The following is a 16095-nucleotide window of genomic DNA, read 5'->3' on the forward strand; positions in this document are numbered from 1 at the left end:
AGAATGCAGAAAATTTTCAACTTACAAAATAGTTGTTTTCTACAGAGCTGTGCAAACTGACATCTTGGTACACTGCTACAAAATAATTTTATTATAGTCACAGGCTAACCTCAAAAAATTTCACTAGAAATATGTCATTTGTTTTCTTTCCTTCCTTTATTCTCACCTTCCTTGTTATTTTGTTTGTTACTGAAAATGGTATAACATGATTATTATTCTTGTCAAATAAGATTAAAGTCATTTACTTTTTACCCACACAAAAAGGAAATCAGAAGAGTTCCTGAAGTAAATGAAGAACAGTTGGAAAAGGAGGTAAACTAGATTTTAAAAGATGTTCAGAACTTCACACACACAAAAAAGCCCAGGCCCAGATGGCTTCATTGGTGAACGCTATCAAACATTTAAAGAAGAATATCAATTCTTAAGAAACTCTTCTAAAAATAGAAGAGGAAGGAATACTTCCCAATTTAGCCTATGAGGCCAGTATCACTTTGATATAAAAACCAAAAACATCACACAAAAACAGAAATATACAAACTAATATTTCCTATGAATATGGATGCAAAACCTCAAAAAAATAGCTGACTAAATCTAGCTATATAAAAAAATGATTACACTCTGTGACCAAATGTGATGTTATCTCAGGAAAGCAAGGTTAGTTTAACATCCAAAATTCAATTAATGTAATAAACCATATCAGTAGAACAAAGGATAAAAACCACATCATCATCTCAAAAGATGCAGAAAAAACATGGGCAAAATCTAACATTCTGTCATGACAGAAATCCTTAACAAACTAGAAACAGGAAGAAAACTAAGAGCTGGGCATGGTGGCTGACACCTGTAATCCCAGCACTTTGGGAGGCCAAGGTGGGAGGATCAGTTGAACCTAGGAGTTCAAGACCAATCTGGGCAATATAGTGAGACCTTGTCTCTACAAAAATATTAAAAAGTTAGCTGAGTGTGGTGATGTGGGCCTGTAGTCTGAGCCACTCAGGAGGCTGAGGTGGAAGTGTTGCTTGAGCCTGGGAGGCAGAGGTTGCGGTGAACCAAGATTATGCCACTGCACTCCAGCCTGGCGAACAGAGATGTCATCTCAAACAAACAAACACCTAAATCAAAATAAACTAGGAACAGAAATGAAGCTCCCCAATCTGATATAAAACATGTACGAAAACTCCACATTCATCATACTTAATGGTGAAAGGCTAAATATTTCACTCTGAAGATCAGAAAAAAGACTACAAGAATGTACACTCTCACCATTTCTATTCAACATTACACCACAGGCGATTAGGCAAGAAAAAAAATTCTAAAATACAAATTGGAAAGAAAGAAGTAAAACATGTCTATTTGCAGATAATAGGATCTCATACATAGAAAATTCATAGGGATGTAATTAAAAACTATTAAAAATAATAAACTGGGCCGGGTGTGGTGGCTCACGCCTGTAATCCCAGCACTTTAGGAGGGTGAGGCGGGTGGATCACCTGAGGTCGGGAGTTCAAGACCAGCCTGGCCAACATGGTGAAACCCCATCTCTACTAAAAATACAAAAATTAGCTGGGTGTGGAGGCTTGCACCTGTGGTCCCAGCTGCTCAGGAGGTTGAGGAAAGATAATCGCTTGAACCCGGGAGGCAAAAGTTGCAGTGAGCCAAAATTGCGCCACTGCACTCCAACCTGGGCAACAGAGCAAGACTTCATCTCAAAATAATAATAATAATAATAACATAATAATAAAAATAAACTGGCTAAGTGTGGTGGCTCCCACCTGTAATCCCAGCACTTTGGGAGGCAGAGGCAGGCAGATCATGAGGTCAGCAGATCGAGACCATCCTGGATAACATGGTGAAACCATGTCTCCACTAAAAATACAAAAAATTAGCCAGGCGTGGTGGCATGCACCTGTAGACCCAGCTACTCAGAAGGCTGAGGCAGGAGAATCATTTGAACTCGGAAGACGGAGGTTGCAGTGAGCCGAGATCACGCCACTGCACTCCAGCCTGGGCTACAGAGCGAGACTCCATCTCAAAAACAAGTAAATAAATAAAAAGAAAGCAAGCAAGAAATTAAAGAAGCCAGGCACAGTGGCCCGCACCCGTAATCCCAGCTACTCAGCAGGCTGAGGAAGAAGGATCACATGAGGCCAGGATTTCCAGACCTGCCTAGGTAACATGGTGAGACCCCATCACTAAAACAATTTTAAAAATCAGCCAGAGACTACAGCCAGTTTGGTGATATATGCCTGTAGTCCCAGCTACTCTGGATGCTGAGGCAAGAGGATTGCTTGAGCCCAGAAGTTTAAGACCAGCCTGGGCAACATGGTGAAATCCCATCTCTACCAAAAAAGTACAAAAATTATCTGGGCATGGTGGCATGTACCTGTGGTCTCAGCTATTTGGGAGGCAGAGGTAGAAGGATCACCTGAGCCCAGGGAGGTTGAGGCTGCAATGAGCCGTGACCGCACCACTGCACTCCAGTCAGAGTGAGACCCTGTCTTAAAAAAAAAAAAAAAAGGAAAAAGAAAAGAAAAAAAAGTAGAAGATAAAATATTCAGGCCAGGCATTGTGGCATGCGCCTGTAATCCCAGCTACTCGGGAGGCTGAGGCAGGACAATCACTTGAACCCGGGAGGAAGAGGTTGCAGTGAGCCAAGATCGCGCCACTGCACTCCAGCCTGGGCAACAGAACGCGACTCCATCTCAAAAAAGAGGAAAAAAGAAAGAGGTTATTGTAGGATTAGGTGAGATTTTATATATAACGAATATCTTCCCCATAGCAGGCATATAGGAAATATGAATCATTTCTTATTTTTATTTCACTATGTTGTGAGCATTTTTACAAGCTCTTTATTTTTCTGAATAATTATGCTTACTATATTAACTAAAATTTATTTGATTTTTTTTTTTGACGGAGTTTTCGCTCTTGTTGCCCAGGCTGGAGGGCAACAGTGCAATATTGGCTCATTGAAACCTCCACCTCCCAGGTTCAAGTGGTTCTCCTGCCTCAGCCTCCCAAGTAGCTGGGATTACAGGTATGTGCCACCACGCCGGACTAATAAGAGGTGTACTATCATCATCCCCATTTAACAGATAAAGAAATAGAGGCCTAGTTTGCATAATTAATAAACACATGGAACTAGGCTTAAACCCAAGTTTCTCTGATTGCAAATTTTATGTTCTGTACCATTATACTATACAGCTACGTTAGGTTGGATTCAGAAAATGTGGTATATATACAACACGGAATACTAGGCAGCCATAAAAAGAATGAGATTATGTCCTTTGAAGTAACATGGATGGAGCTGGAGGCCATAATCCTAAACAAATTAGTGCAGGAAGAGAAAACCAAATACTGCATGTTCTCACTTATAAATGGGAGCTAAACACTGGGCACACATAGATATAAATATGGAAACAAGAGACACTGTGGACTACTAGAGGGTAGAGGGATGAGGATGCATAGTGAATACAATGCTTACGACCTAGGTGATGGAATCCATACTCCTAACCTCAGCATCACACAATATTCCCATGTACTCAATCTGCACATGTACTCCCTGTAACTAAAATACAAGTTGAAATGAAAATAAAATAAAATTATACATTTAAATTATAAATTATCATCCCACAATTTTAATAAAGGTATGTATATGTGTTTGTATATTTATATATTTAAACATATGTGCATATACATGTTTAGAAAGACAGGAATATGCACAATGTTAATGGTGGTAAATTTTAGGGGTTGGTTTCTTTGTGATTATCTGTGTGGTGAATGTGCTACTTTTGTAATAGAAAAAATAAATAAATGCACTCCAAATATTTTCTTCAGTAAAGAAATTAGGCAAAAAAAGAAAATATACAAATCAATGTGTTTAAAGTTTTCTCAATATTTAAGCTCCACTTTAGAATAATAAATCCACCTATATATTGAGTATAAACTTTGATTAACAAACATAAACTCATGGTGGCACACACCTGCAATCTCAGCTACTCAGGAGATGGACGCAGGAGAATCTCTTGAACCTGGGAGGTGGAGGTTGCAGTGAGCTGAGATTGCACCACTGCACTCCAGCCCGGGTGACAGAGCAAGACTCTGTCTCAGAACAAACAAACAAACAAACATATTCTGTAACAGAAATACCCTGTGTGCAAATTCAGTCCTAGCTAACAAGGCTTAACAATAATTATTAACTCCCAGATTCTAAAAAAGTTTATTTGGTGACTTTCTTATTTGATGACTTCACTACATTCTCATCAGCTACGAATTAGAATAATTCCAATTTGAACTATAGTGTGATGTGTTGAATTTTTCCGTTTCTGTCATGTACGCTGTTTTTACTTTGACATAATAGTGCTTTAAAGTTAACTATTGCCAGTAATAACAATAACAACTGCTAAGTCCTAAGTTACCATCTACCTTATCCTTAAATAAACTAACTTCATTATATTTATCCTTAGCCAAATTGTTAAAAAATGTATGGAGATCAAGCAGCATATATTTTAAGAATACAGATTATAAAAACATCATTTTCCTGAAACTTAAATTCCTCAAAGGAACTAGTTAATTTTCAAATCTTCTAACACCTTCTCATTACTTCAGTGTGATTGCTTCAAATATGGAAAAGAGTTTTTATTTCCCCTTGACAAGATCACACTGCTGTACGCATATAAACTACGATTAAGAAGGTAAATCGGTTCAATATTCTAACATTAACTCCAATTCTATCAAAAGGTTCATCCTGTAATATTACAAATCTAGTTTAATCACCAAGATTTGGTCAATTCCCCTCCTGAAAAAAAAAAAAAAAACTTGCAGTTCATTTCCAATGCTAAGAAATAACACAATACATTGGCAACATTGCTTCACAGATACCTACTGCTCACTAAGAAAAATGTACAGCTAAATATAATTTTATGTTATCATATAATAAACACTAAAAAAGATCAGGCTTAGATTTTATGCTGTGCAATAATTCTCTTAATAATTGTTTAAGCCAAAATTAGGACAACTAAGGTGCTCAAATGTCACCTTCTCAGGTAAAGCCCATATTGACCCCTACCTTGTTTAACACTGCAACCAGTTCCCCTCCATCCCCCTCCCCTACACACATAATCTTACCCTGGGCAAAGCACTCTTTCTCCTCCTCCTCCTACTTTTTCTCCTTAATACTTATCACCTTCTAACATCCATATAATTTACTCGTCATCTTCGGCTTGTGAAGTTTTGTCTGCCTACTATTACATAGGACAGTGCCTGTGACATAGTAGGTGCCGTTGAATGAATAATTTTACCCACTAGGTGGGCAGTGGAAGCTACTGTTTTGTTTTTTTGTTTGTTTGTTTGTTTTGGAGATGGAGTTTCGCTCTCGTCACCCAGGCTGGAGTGCAGTGGCGCGATCTCGGCTCACTGCAACCTCCGTCTCCCAGGTTCAAGCAATTCTCCTGCCTCAGCCTCCCCAGTAGCTGGGATTACAGGCACCTGTCACCATGCCCGGCTAATTTTTGTATTTTTAGTAGAGACTAGGTCTCACTATGTTGACCAGGCTTGTCTTCAACTCCTGACCTTAGGTGATCCACCCGCCCCAGCCTCCCAAAGTGCTGGCATTACAGGCGTGAGCCACTGCGCCTGGCCGAAGCTATTGTTTTTATCTGAGTATTTGGTGACTTACACAAGCAGTCCCCAACCTTTTTGGGGGTGGTTTCGGAGATGAAACTGTTCCACCTCAGATGATCAGGCATTAGTTAGATTCCCATAAGGAGTGCAGCAACCTAGATCTCTCACATGCACAGTTCACAATAGAGTTTGTGCTCCTATGAGAATCTAATGCCACCGCTGATCTGACAGGAGGCAGAGCTCAGGTAGTAATGCTCACTTGCCCACCGCTCACCTCCTGCTGTGCAGCCCAGTTCCCAACAGGTCAGGTCCAAGTTCCAGGGGTTAGGGATCCCTGACTTACACAAATGGGTGGAAATACAATGTTTAGTTTTGTAATTAGAGTAAATCCTCATTTTTCACCCAGATTAAAGCAAAAAAAAAAAAAATACTTTTTTCAGGAGCCTTGAGACCTACTAATGCCTCCAAGGTTTAAGACAGACTTATACAGTGGCTCTCAACCTGAAAAGAAAAAACCGAAATAGAACCCAGAGAAAATCCATAGTTCTGAGATTCTGAAGGGAAAAGGGGCAGGGTGGTAATTTTTTGCTATTTGGAGGAGGTCTCAAATGACTCTTCCTGCATGGTTATTGCAATGTTTTTCATCATGCTTACCATGCATATTTTACATATATTATAAAACTATTACATGCTCATGATGAATTACAAAGGTTCACAGATCTCAGCATTACCATTATTACTTTGACTTATCCTGCTCCTGTTATACTAAGTAGATGAAATACAAAAAGGGAAAATAATTTATGTGGATGTAGAAAAATTCTAGTAATTTGAAATTATAAATAATGCCTTTTGATGGGCTGGTCACACCAAAAGAACTCTAGGCTACAAAGTAGTTATGTCAATAATCAACAGTTTTTATAATAATAAAAACTGAAAAAACTATATAAACTATATATATACTATATATAAACTATACTATATATAAACTATATATAAATTATATATACTATATGTATAAACTATATATGTATATTATATATATATATATATTTTTTTTTTTTTTGAGACGGAGTCTAACTATGTCGCCCAGGCTGGAGTGCAGTGGCGCAATCTCGGCTCACTGCAACCTCCACCTCCCGGGTTCAAGCGATTCCCCTGCCTCAGCCTCCCAAGTAGCTGGGACTATAGGCACGTGCCACCACGCCCAGGTAATTTTTTGTATGTTAGTACAGACGGGATTTCACCAAGTTGGCCAGGATGGTCTCGATCTCCTGACTTCCTGATCTGCCCGCTTCGGCGTCCCAAAGTGCTGGGATTACAGGCATGAGCCACCGCACCCGGCCGAAAAAAGTATATTTATTCACCAGAAGCTCTTCCTAATTGAACTGGTGAGTTATTATGGAATTTGCATACATAGAAAAAAGATTTCCTTTGTAAGAAAAGTCTTTTCATATATTCCCCACAAAGGCCTAACTCTGACAACTTGAAAAGCAACAAATGACTTTCTGAAAACTATCAGAAAAGAAAAATGTTATATTACGTAACTTGTTTAATTTTGCTTCTTGTCCTAAGCCTGAAATGAGATAGATGACATCTGTGCATAATTTCATATGTGCATCACTCTTATGAACTTAGGATTTAGCACTTTTAAAAGATATTATTTTCTACACATCCCAAAACACCAAAATTTTTTTTTTTTTTTTTTTTTTTTTTTGACACAGAGTCTCGCTTTGTCGGCGAGGCTGGAGTGCGGTGGCGCGATCTCTGCTCACTGCAAGACCCGCCTCCCGGATTCACGCCATTCCCCTGCCTCAGCCTCCCGAGTAGCTGGGACTACAGGCACCCCAGACAAATTTTTTAAAAATCATTTTTCCTATGTAGCAAATATCTTTAGGCCTAGCATCTGTTTTCTTATCAGAAGTTAATATATTTAAGATGAAAATTCATTTGTATGTTATGCTTGAAAAGGATATTAATACCCTTTCATATGGCAAACTTACTTTTTAAGTAAATTCCATTAGTAACAGGCGCACTATTAAGACAGCCCGATTTACTACTTTTTGAGTTCTCAACATGTTGGACACAGGTAAAACAGTCACAGTTGTTGTTTTAAAACTAATTTAGCAACCACATTTCTAAACCTTTTCAAACATGAGCGTAAGAAATAAGTATCATGCTCTCAAAAAATAAAAAATTTCCAAAAGTGCATGGTATCAAAAGTACAAATTAAAAATTTTGTATATTTAAAATTGAGGATTAACTTTAAAGCTCATCATTTATACAGAGACATAGAAAACAACAAAATGTGTGAATGTTTTGTAGCTTTTCTGTTTTTTTTTTTTTTTTTTTTGAGACAGAGTCTCACTCACTCTGTCGCCCAGGATGCAGTGCTGTGGTACGATCTCAGCTCACTGTAGCCTCTGCCTCCTGGGTTGAAGTGATTCTCCTGCCTCACCCTCCCGAGTAGCTGGGATTACAGGTGCCTGCCACCACACCCAGCTAATTTTTTTGTATTTTTAGTAGAGACGGCGTTTCACCATGTTGGCCAGGCTGCTCTCGAACTCCTGACCTCAGGTGATCCACCCGCCTCAGCCTCCCAAAGTGCTGGGATTACAGGTTTGAGCCACCGTGCCCAGTCTCTTTCTTTTTTCCTTTTTTAAGAGATAGCTCACACCCATTTTCTGGCTGTCCTTCAGTTCTGACTTCTTTGATTCAGTTCTCATGCCTCTATCTATTTGTGTATCATTATGTTGCACATGTCCAAGAATTAAGTGTTGACTCTCAGCGGTATAAAAATAAAAACAACAACAACAACAAAACCTATTTACAGTACATTCATGGTTTAAACTGGTACACAAACAGTTTTTCTTAGGCTTAATCATTTGCCAACATCACCATACCCATTCAACAAAAATTATGTAACTTCTCGTTTCTTTATGCCTATCTGAAGAACTCAGACTGCTGGGTACTGTGAGTTGGATGAGTCCCCCCGCCCCTCAAGACCAAAATTACAGCAAAGTCTCTGTCAAGGTTTCATATTAAAATGTTGAAAGTGGATACAAAATCAAGAGACTAAAACAGTGTATTTTCAATCATGTTTCACACTATTTTTAATGTATAAGAAGGAAATAAACCTTCATATAACTGCCTGAGGCATATAACTGCCTGAAATTTTCTGGGTAGCCAGTGTGGCAACTGACAAGGATTCAGACTTATTGATGAACTATTAAAAACTGCAAGCTAATGTTACTCACTATAATACTTAGATTTTTGGGACAGCAAAGAAATGACTAAAAGACAGGTGTCCTGGATGCTAGTCCTAGTCCTTCTATTGACTGACTGTAAGCGGTAAGTTATTTTATCTCTTTGGATTTCGCTTTCCTCATCTATAAAATGTGAGATTTGGCCAGGAGTGGTGGCTCACGCCTTTAATCCCAGCACTTTGGGAGGCTGAGGTGGGCGGATCACTTGAGACCAGGAGTTTGAGAACAGCCTGCTAACATGGTGAAACACCATGTCTACTAAAAATAAAAAAAAATAAAAAAAATTATCTGGGAGTGGTGGTGTACGCCTGTAATCCCAGCTACTCAGGTGGCTGAGGCATGAGAATCTCTTGAACCTGGGAGGCGGAGGTTGCAGTGAGCCAAGATTGCGTCACTCCACTCTAACCTGGGCAACAGAGTGAGACTCGGTCTAAAAAATTAAAAAATAAAAATAAAATGTGAGATTTGAAGGAGATATCCTGTAAATCCCTTTTAGCCCTAATACACCATTTTTTTAGCATGTTAATACCATCAAATAGAAACCAATAAGTTGTTTACTATTTTTGACAGAATCCAGAATATCCATAAATAGCACCTCATTCACAGGAGAAAACAAAAAAGTACTATCTTTAGGCTGGGCGCGGTGGCTCAAGCCTGTAATCCTAGCACTTTGGGAGGCCGAGGCGTGCAGATCACGAGGTCAGGAGATCGAGACCATCCTGGCTAACACGGTGAAACCCCGTCTCTACTAAAAACACACAAAAAAATTAGCCGGGCATGGTGGTGGGCGCCTGTAATCCCAGCTACTCGGGAAGCTGAGGCAGGAGAATGGCGTGAACCCGGGAGGCGGAGCTTGCAGTGAGCCAAGATCGCGCCACTGCACTCCAGCCTGGGTGACAGAGTAACCCAGGTTCTCTAAAGTCGTTGGCTTGAACATTTCTTCTGCATTTTTCCATAACTTTCCCAAGCAGAATATCCTGCCCTAGCTGTGTTCTCCAAGACCTATGTTCTATCAATAATCTGGCTGGCCAAAACCTCAACAAAGTCCCTTTGCTCCCACCTCCTCTGCACAAGTCTTCAGACTTCTCCCTAAAACTGGCAGACATAGAAACACATCTGTTGTTAATTCAACATGTACAAGTGAGAGGTCACACTCTATTCCCTGTACCCAGGAAAGATAGAGGGTGTAAATTCTAGCTTCCAATTAGCTCCAGCGAATACAATCTCTCTGGGACTCTACCTATCCCAGAAAAAAAATCAGAATAAACTGCACAGCTTTCTTATGCACAAACTGCTATGGATACTCAAGAATCCATGAGTCTCAGACTTCAAAGGGCTAACATTCAGCCAGTATACTCTTACGGCCTCAAAGTTTGTTAAAATACTGAAATTCTTCTTACCATTTGGCAAATAGTGTCCTGAGCCACTGCCTAATCCTGTAGCCCAGCATATTCTCAAGGATCCTTAGTAACCCATCAACAGGTTAAGGACTGGCACCCTAAAGGGCCCATAGGTTCCTTCTCTAGCACAGTAACCAGCCTCTATTCTGTTTAGTACCCACGCAGTCAATCCCTACCCCCAGCCCCCAAAGTTGTACCTTCTGGACAATGCCTTTGGATTCTTCTAGATACTCCCAAGGACTAGGCTGTGCATTTCTTACCTTTCCCACCCAGACGTGGGGCAACTCAAATGGGTCTGGAAAGTAACAGATATAGCACTAGCCAGTCCAGATTACTGAATCCAGTTCCTGTTCTTTCATGTCTCCTCTGCCAGAGCTGGCCTGGTACCCAGCAGGAGACACCAGTGGCAGTGGCACCTCATCAGGCAAATGCCCGCTGCCTCTTTTTTTTTTTAAATGGAGTCTCGCTCTGCTTCCCAGGCTTGAGTGCAGTGGCGTGATCCCAGCTCATTGCAACCTCCGCCTCCTGGGTTCAAGCAATTCTCCTGCCTCAGTCTCCTGAGTAGCTGGGATTACAGGTGTCTGCTACCATGCCCAGGTAATTTTTGTATTTTCAGTAGAGATGGGGTTTCCTCATATTGGTAGGGCTGGTCTTAACTCCTGACTTCAAGTGATCCGCCTGCCTCAGCCTCCCAAAGTGCTGGGATTACAGGCATGAACCACCCCACCCCGCCGGTGCCTTTTGACTCCGAGGCTGTGACTACTCACCACTGATTCCCCAGAGTTGCCTTCATGTGGTTGGTTACCTGTGGGAACTGCAGCCTGCCCAGAATTTTGAATGAGGCAGCCAGGAAGGGCAATGTGCTAGCTGGCAGACTGGGCCACCACACCAACTATTACATAATTTAAATATTACTTCTGAAAAAAGGCATATGCAACCAAGCTACCTATTTTTTATTTTTTTTTTTTTACCCCTTCTGACATATCTGATGACTTAGCCCTGCTGAAAACAAATCAAAGATACTTGTTGACTGTGCCAAGAATTGGGTCAGCTGGCTGATATGCCATCAAATTTTAACTGCTTTTTTTCCTATTTTTGTTTAATGTATTTAAGACCACCGCCTTACAATTTCCAGAGAGAAAATACAAAACAAGAAACAGACTTGGTTTCAAATACATAACAAGTGTGCTGGAGTTTAAAGCATTACTAATAACATTGTTATAATAAGAATGACAGCTTACTCCAGGGTACTTCAGCATTCCTGAGGAATAAACATGATTTCTCTTTTCCTCCCACTGCGATGTTGTCAGGTGGTCACTGCTCCTGTCCTTTGACATGTTTTCCATGTAGAAGACATGGAACCTGGAAATCATGCTGACTGCTGGAATAAGCCATTCCTAATGCCATGCCAGAACCAAAGGCTAATGGCCACATTCTTTTTTTAAAGAAGGTAAGTGAGAAAACAATCCCTAATCCAAAACCGGTACTTATCTACCACATCCAGCAGGCACTGGTCCCACTTCCTGCTGAGCCCCACCTCTGACATGTTCCCCACCCACAGCTCCAGCTTTCCTCTCACTCTAACTGCATTTAAGAGACATCTTGTAATGATTCTACATGCAAGAGTTCAAAATAAGAACTCCTGAATCTTTCAGCTACTCTAACAATATGGGTTCTGACCTGATAGCATCTTATCACTATTCTTGCCCAAGACTTGACAGGCCAGCCCATATTACAGTAGGTAGGGTTAGGTGGAAGTGGTGTGAGATGTTCATAAAAATTAAAGTGAACTCCTGCTTCTCAAAGAAAACAAGGTCTCTTTTGGTCAAGAAAAAGAGGGGTTTCATTAAATGACACTCTTGGTAACCTGCCATCCCTTTCAAATGGATGTATTCACTTTCAGAGTGAGGTTCAGATTTTCCACAATACAGAGAGGGAAAACATGAGTTGAGGAGAACCTCATTTTCCCCTAATAAATGCTAGTGCTTTTTAATGGGGGAAAACAAACAAAAACCCCAAAGAACTCTGGCTCTTAAAGGACCAGGGTACTCTCATGTACTAACTGCATAGAAGGGATAAACCAGTCTACTCATCTTTCTTTACATCAGAGAGGCCTCCTTGCTCCCAAGATTTTAGTTTTTAAAAACTTTATTCTAACTGATAACCTGGACAGCTGAAATGATCCAGCTGATTCTCTGTCACATGATCTGGAAATCCAGGCAACAACAGAGTTCACATCACCCTGAGACATGCTCCATTCCAAATCCTTTGTAACCCTCTGGCCATCACTGAAACTAAGACAAATAAACTGGATCAACCAAGAGATGGCCAAACATAAGCTACACCTGACCAAAGTCACAGCCACCCTGCAGTGCCTCCCAAAGAGCAGAGTGCTGGAGGAAAAATGGAGGAGACTACACTATCAGAACAGCAGATATGCCTCTCAGTAGAATGAGCCCCATACAAATATTATGGCTTTGCCACACCACTGCCCTGACAGGCTGCCTGAGGCTGCATAAGTTATTCAACAAACATGACAAAATGTTCGGTGGCCTCCCAGTTGATACAATGTCCACAGATGTTTCCTTCTCTCACTACTCTAGTATGCTGCACACCAAACAGTGCTACTCAAATGTCATTCATACTGATGCCAGTCCATGAAGTTTGCTACTGATCCACAAGTACAGAAATTGAGAATAAGTAAAAAAAAAAATTTTATAGAAATTAGACACAGTAATTTTTTTTCCTTTTTCTTTGAGAGAGTCTCCCTCTGTCACCTGGGCTGGAGTGCAGTGGCATGATCTCAGCTCATTTCAACCTCCACCTCCTGGGTTTAAGCGACTCTCCCATCTCAGCCTCCTGAGTAGCTAGAATATAGGCATATGCCACCATACTTGGCTAATTTTTATATTTTTTGGTAGAGATGGGGTTTCACTATGTTGGCCAAGCTAGTCTCAAACTCCTGGTCCCTGTAATTCCTCCCAAAGTGTTGGGATTACAGGCATGAGCCACTGCATGCAGCTGACACATAATTATGTCTGTTGAATTTAACAAAACATTTGGTTTGTATTTTAAAATTTTTTGTAATTCACTTCATTCATTCACTCATTCATTTAAGACAGAATCTCGTTCTGTTGCCCAGGCTGGAGTGCAGTGGTGTGATCTTGGCTCACTGCAATCTCCGTGTCCTGGGTTCAAATGATTCTCGTGCCTCAGCCGAATAGCTGGGATTACAGGTGTGCATCACATGCCCAGCTAATTTCTGTATTTTTAGTAGAGATGGGGTTTTGCCATGTTGGCCAGGCTGGTCTCGAACTCCTGACCTCAAGTGATCCACCTGCCTTGGCCTCCCAAAGTGCTGGGATTACAGGTGTGGGCCACCACACCCGGACCTAGTAATCACTTCTTTATTATACATTACTAAAGTATCAGACTATGATGGACTGGAATTTTTTTAAAAATTTATCTTTTGGCTGGGCATGGTGGCTCACCCCTATAATCTCAGCACTTTGGGAGGCTAAGGCAGGTGGATCACTTGAGCTCAGGAGTTCAAGATCAGCCTGGGCAACATGGTGAAACCCCAACTCTACAAAAAAATTGGCTGGGCAGGGTGGCACACACCTGCAGTCCCAGCTACTCAGGAGGCTGAGAATCGTTTGAACCTGGGAGATGGAGGTTGCACTGAGCAGAGATTGTGCCATTGCACTCCAGACTGGGTGACAGAGCAAGACTCTGTCTAAAAAAAAAAAAAAAAAAAAAAAATTAAAATTTAAAAAAGAAATATTGTTGCATGAATAAATACATTACCGTTTCTTGCCTCTAAGCCTTTGATTATTCAGCTGCCACTGCCTACAGGCCTTCTCCCATATTCCTTCCTTCTTGCTAAGTCTGACTTAAACTAGGCTTAGGCACCAACTCCTATAGGAAGCCTTCCTTGAACCTGGCCCTCTACTTTTCACTCACTGACTACCACTCAATTAACTGAACGGTGAAAAGTAACCCACAGCTACGCATTCATGCAGACAACAGAATTTTACTACTTCTTCTCACTACTGGTTCATATTTCTGCAACCAGAAAATATCATTTCATCCCTAGTAACTATGGCTTCCATCTGTTACTTCCTTACTACACTAAGCACTTCTTTACATTAACTGCATAGGTTGTCCCAAGGGTCAAGATACATCTTAAAAACTTAAGGGAAAAAAAAAGCATTCCTATATACATTGGTAAAGTCAATGCAGCAAGGAAGCCTCATTTGTTTTCTATACAATGTTCTCATGATCGCCAAAAGCTAGAAGTCTTCTTCTGGGCCTATTCAAAGTCAATCTCATGAACTCTCATTTCCAATTTACATCTATCATATTCTTCACACTGTTCTTGCATGGACTCCAATCTCTGCTCTATACCTTGGCTAAGCACACACAACCTGGGCATAAAGAGTCAGAGTAAACTATGGAAATTTACCCAAGCTTACTTCTTCCTGTCCCACCCTCTATCTGACCAAGGACAATCCAGATAAAGCCTTTGTTCAGGGCTGGGAAGGCAGGCAGGAAGCTTATAGTCCAATTCTGTACCTTTAAATCAGTCCATCTCTCACCAAGAAACCATACAGCTAACAGCCACTAAAACAAGCCTCACATATCCCAACACCATTCATGGCAATGCTCTAGAATCATTCTTCTACACACCTAACCTTACTCAGTTCCATTTTAGTTCTTGGCTACTGACTCTACCAGTTTACCATGCCCTTGTCTAATATTTGCTGACTGAACTTTTTTCCCAAGCATAACCTTTGGTGTTTTCTGAGACTTTTAGTTGGGTTCTACTGTGGCTCTTTTCACTGCTTGCTGCCTTGGGTATGATGCCCACCTGAGCTTCAGCCCTGGAGATCTACCATAGGCTCGGTGCCTTAGCGGTCTACCTTGCTCCCAAAAGAATTCATATGACCAAACACATTTCTTGGAAGTTCCACATCAGTGTCATAACATAGCAACTTATCCACATCTTGCTTGAACAATTATTTAACTATTGATGAGCTGCTTTTCATTTCCTTTCTCTACTGAATGCTACCTATCCTGTCTACAAATAAAATTATTTCTCTATAAGTAAATTGTTTCTAAATAACTTCTACTTCAGTTTAAAAGTAGAAAATAAAAAGTAAGCCAGGAAGAACAACATAACTAAAAATTCAGAATATGTCACCAGGTGCAGTGGCTCTTGCCCATAATCCCAGCACTTAGGGAGGATCACTTGAAGCCAGGAGTTCAAGACTAGCCTGTAGAGATCCTGTCTCTACAAAAAAAAAAAAAAAAAAAAAAATAGCCAGGCATGGTGGCACATGCCTGTAGTCCTAACCACTCAAGAGGTTGTAATAGGAGGACTGCTTGAACTTAGGAGTCCAAGGCTGCAGTGAGCTATGATCATGCCACTGAACTCCAGCCTGGGTGACAGACGGAAACCGTGTCTCAAAAAAAAAAAAAGTACTATTATTCTTAAAAATAAAAAATGTAACAGTATCTTAAAATATTATAAATGTCGTCTTGTGCCTTCCAACATGTGCCCTCTTCCCTTCTGTCTACTGAGTCTTATGACAACTCTGTCACTTTAGTCTTTTCTTTTTTTTTTTTTTTTTGAGATGGAGTCTCACTCCCTCTGTTGCCCAGGCTAGAGTTCAATGGCATGATCTTGGCTCACTGCAACCTCCAACTCCTGGGTGCTAGCGGTTCTTCTGCCTCAGCCTCCCCAGTAGCTGGGATTACAGGCATGCATCACGACGCCCAGCTAATTTTGTATTTTTAGTAAAGACGAGGTT

The 16095-nt window shown here is 40.7% G+C and overlaps 1 protein-coding gene and 1 pseudogene across 33 annotated transcripts in view; both read right to left on the minus strand.

Annotated features, from left to right (window-relative positions):
- N4BP2L2 (NEDD4 binding protein 2 like 2) overlaps positions 1–16095 on the minus strand; it is a 106384-nt gene that overhangs the window by 52483 nt on the left and 37806 nt on the right. The window lies entirely within an intron of this gene.
- On the minus strand, positions 11239–13525 carry MICOS10P1 (MICOS10 pseudogene 1; annotated as a pseudogene). The gene has a single exon (NR_051980.1). The product of NR_051980.1 is annotated as an MICOS10 pseudogene 1 (transcript).

This window comes from Homo sapiens, chromosome 13 (assembly GCF_000001405.40).
Source record: "Homo sapiens chromosome 13, GRCh38.p14 Primary Assembly".
Classification (NCBI taxonomy): domain Eukaryota; kingdom Metazoa; phylum Chordata; class Mammalia; order Primates; family Hominidae; genus Homo; species Homo sapiens.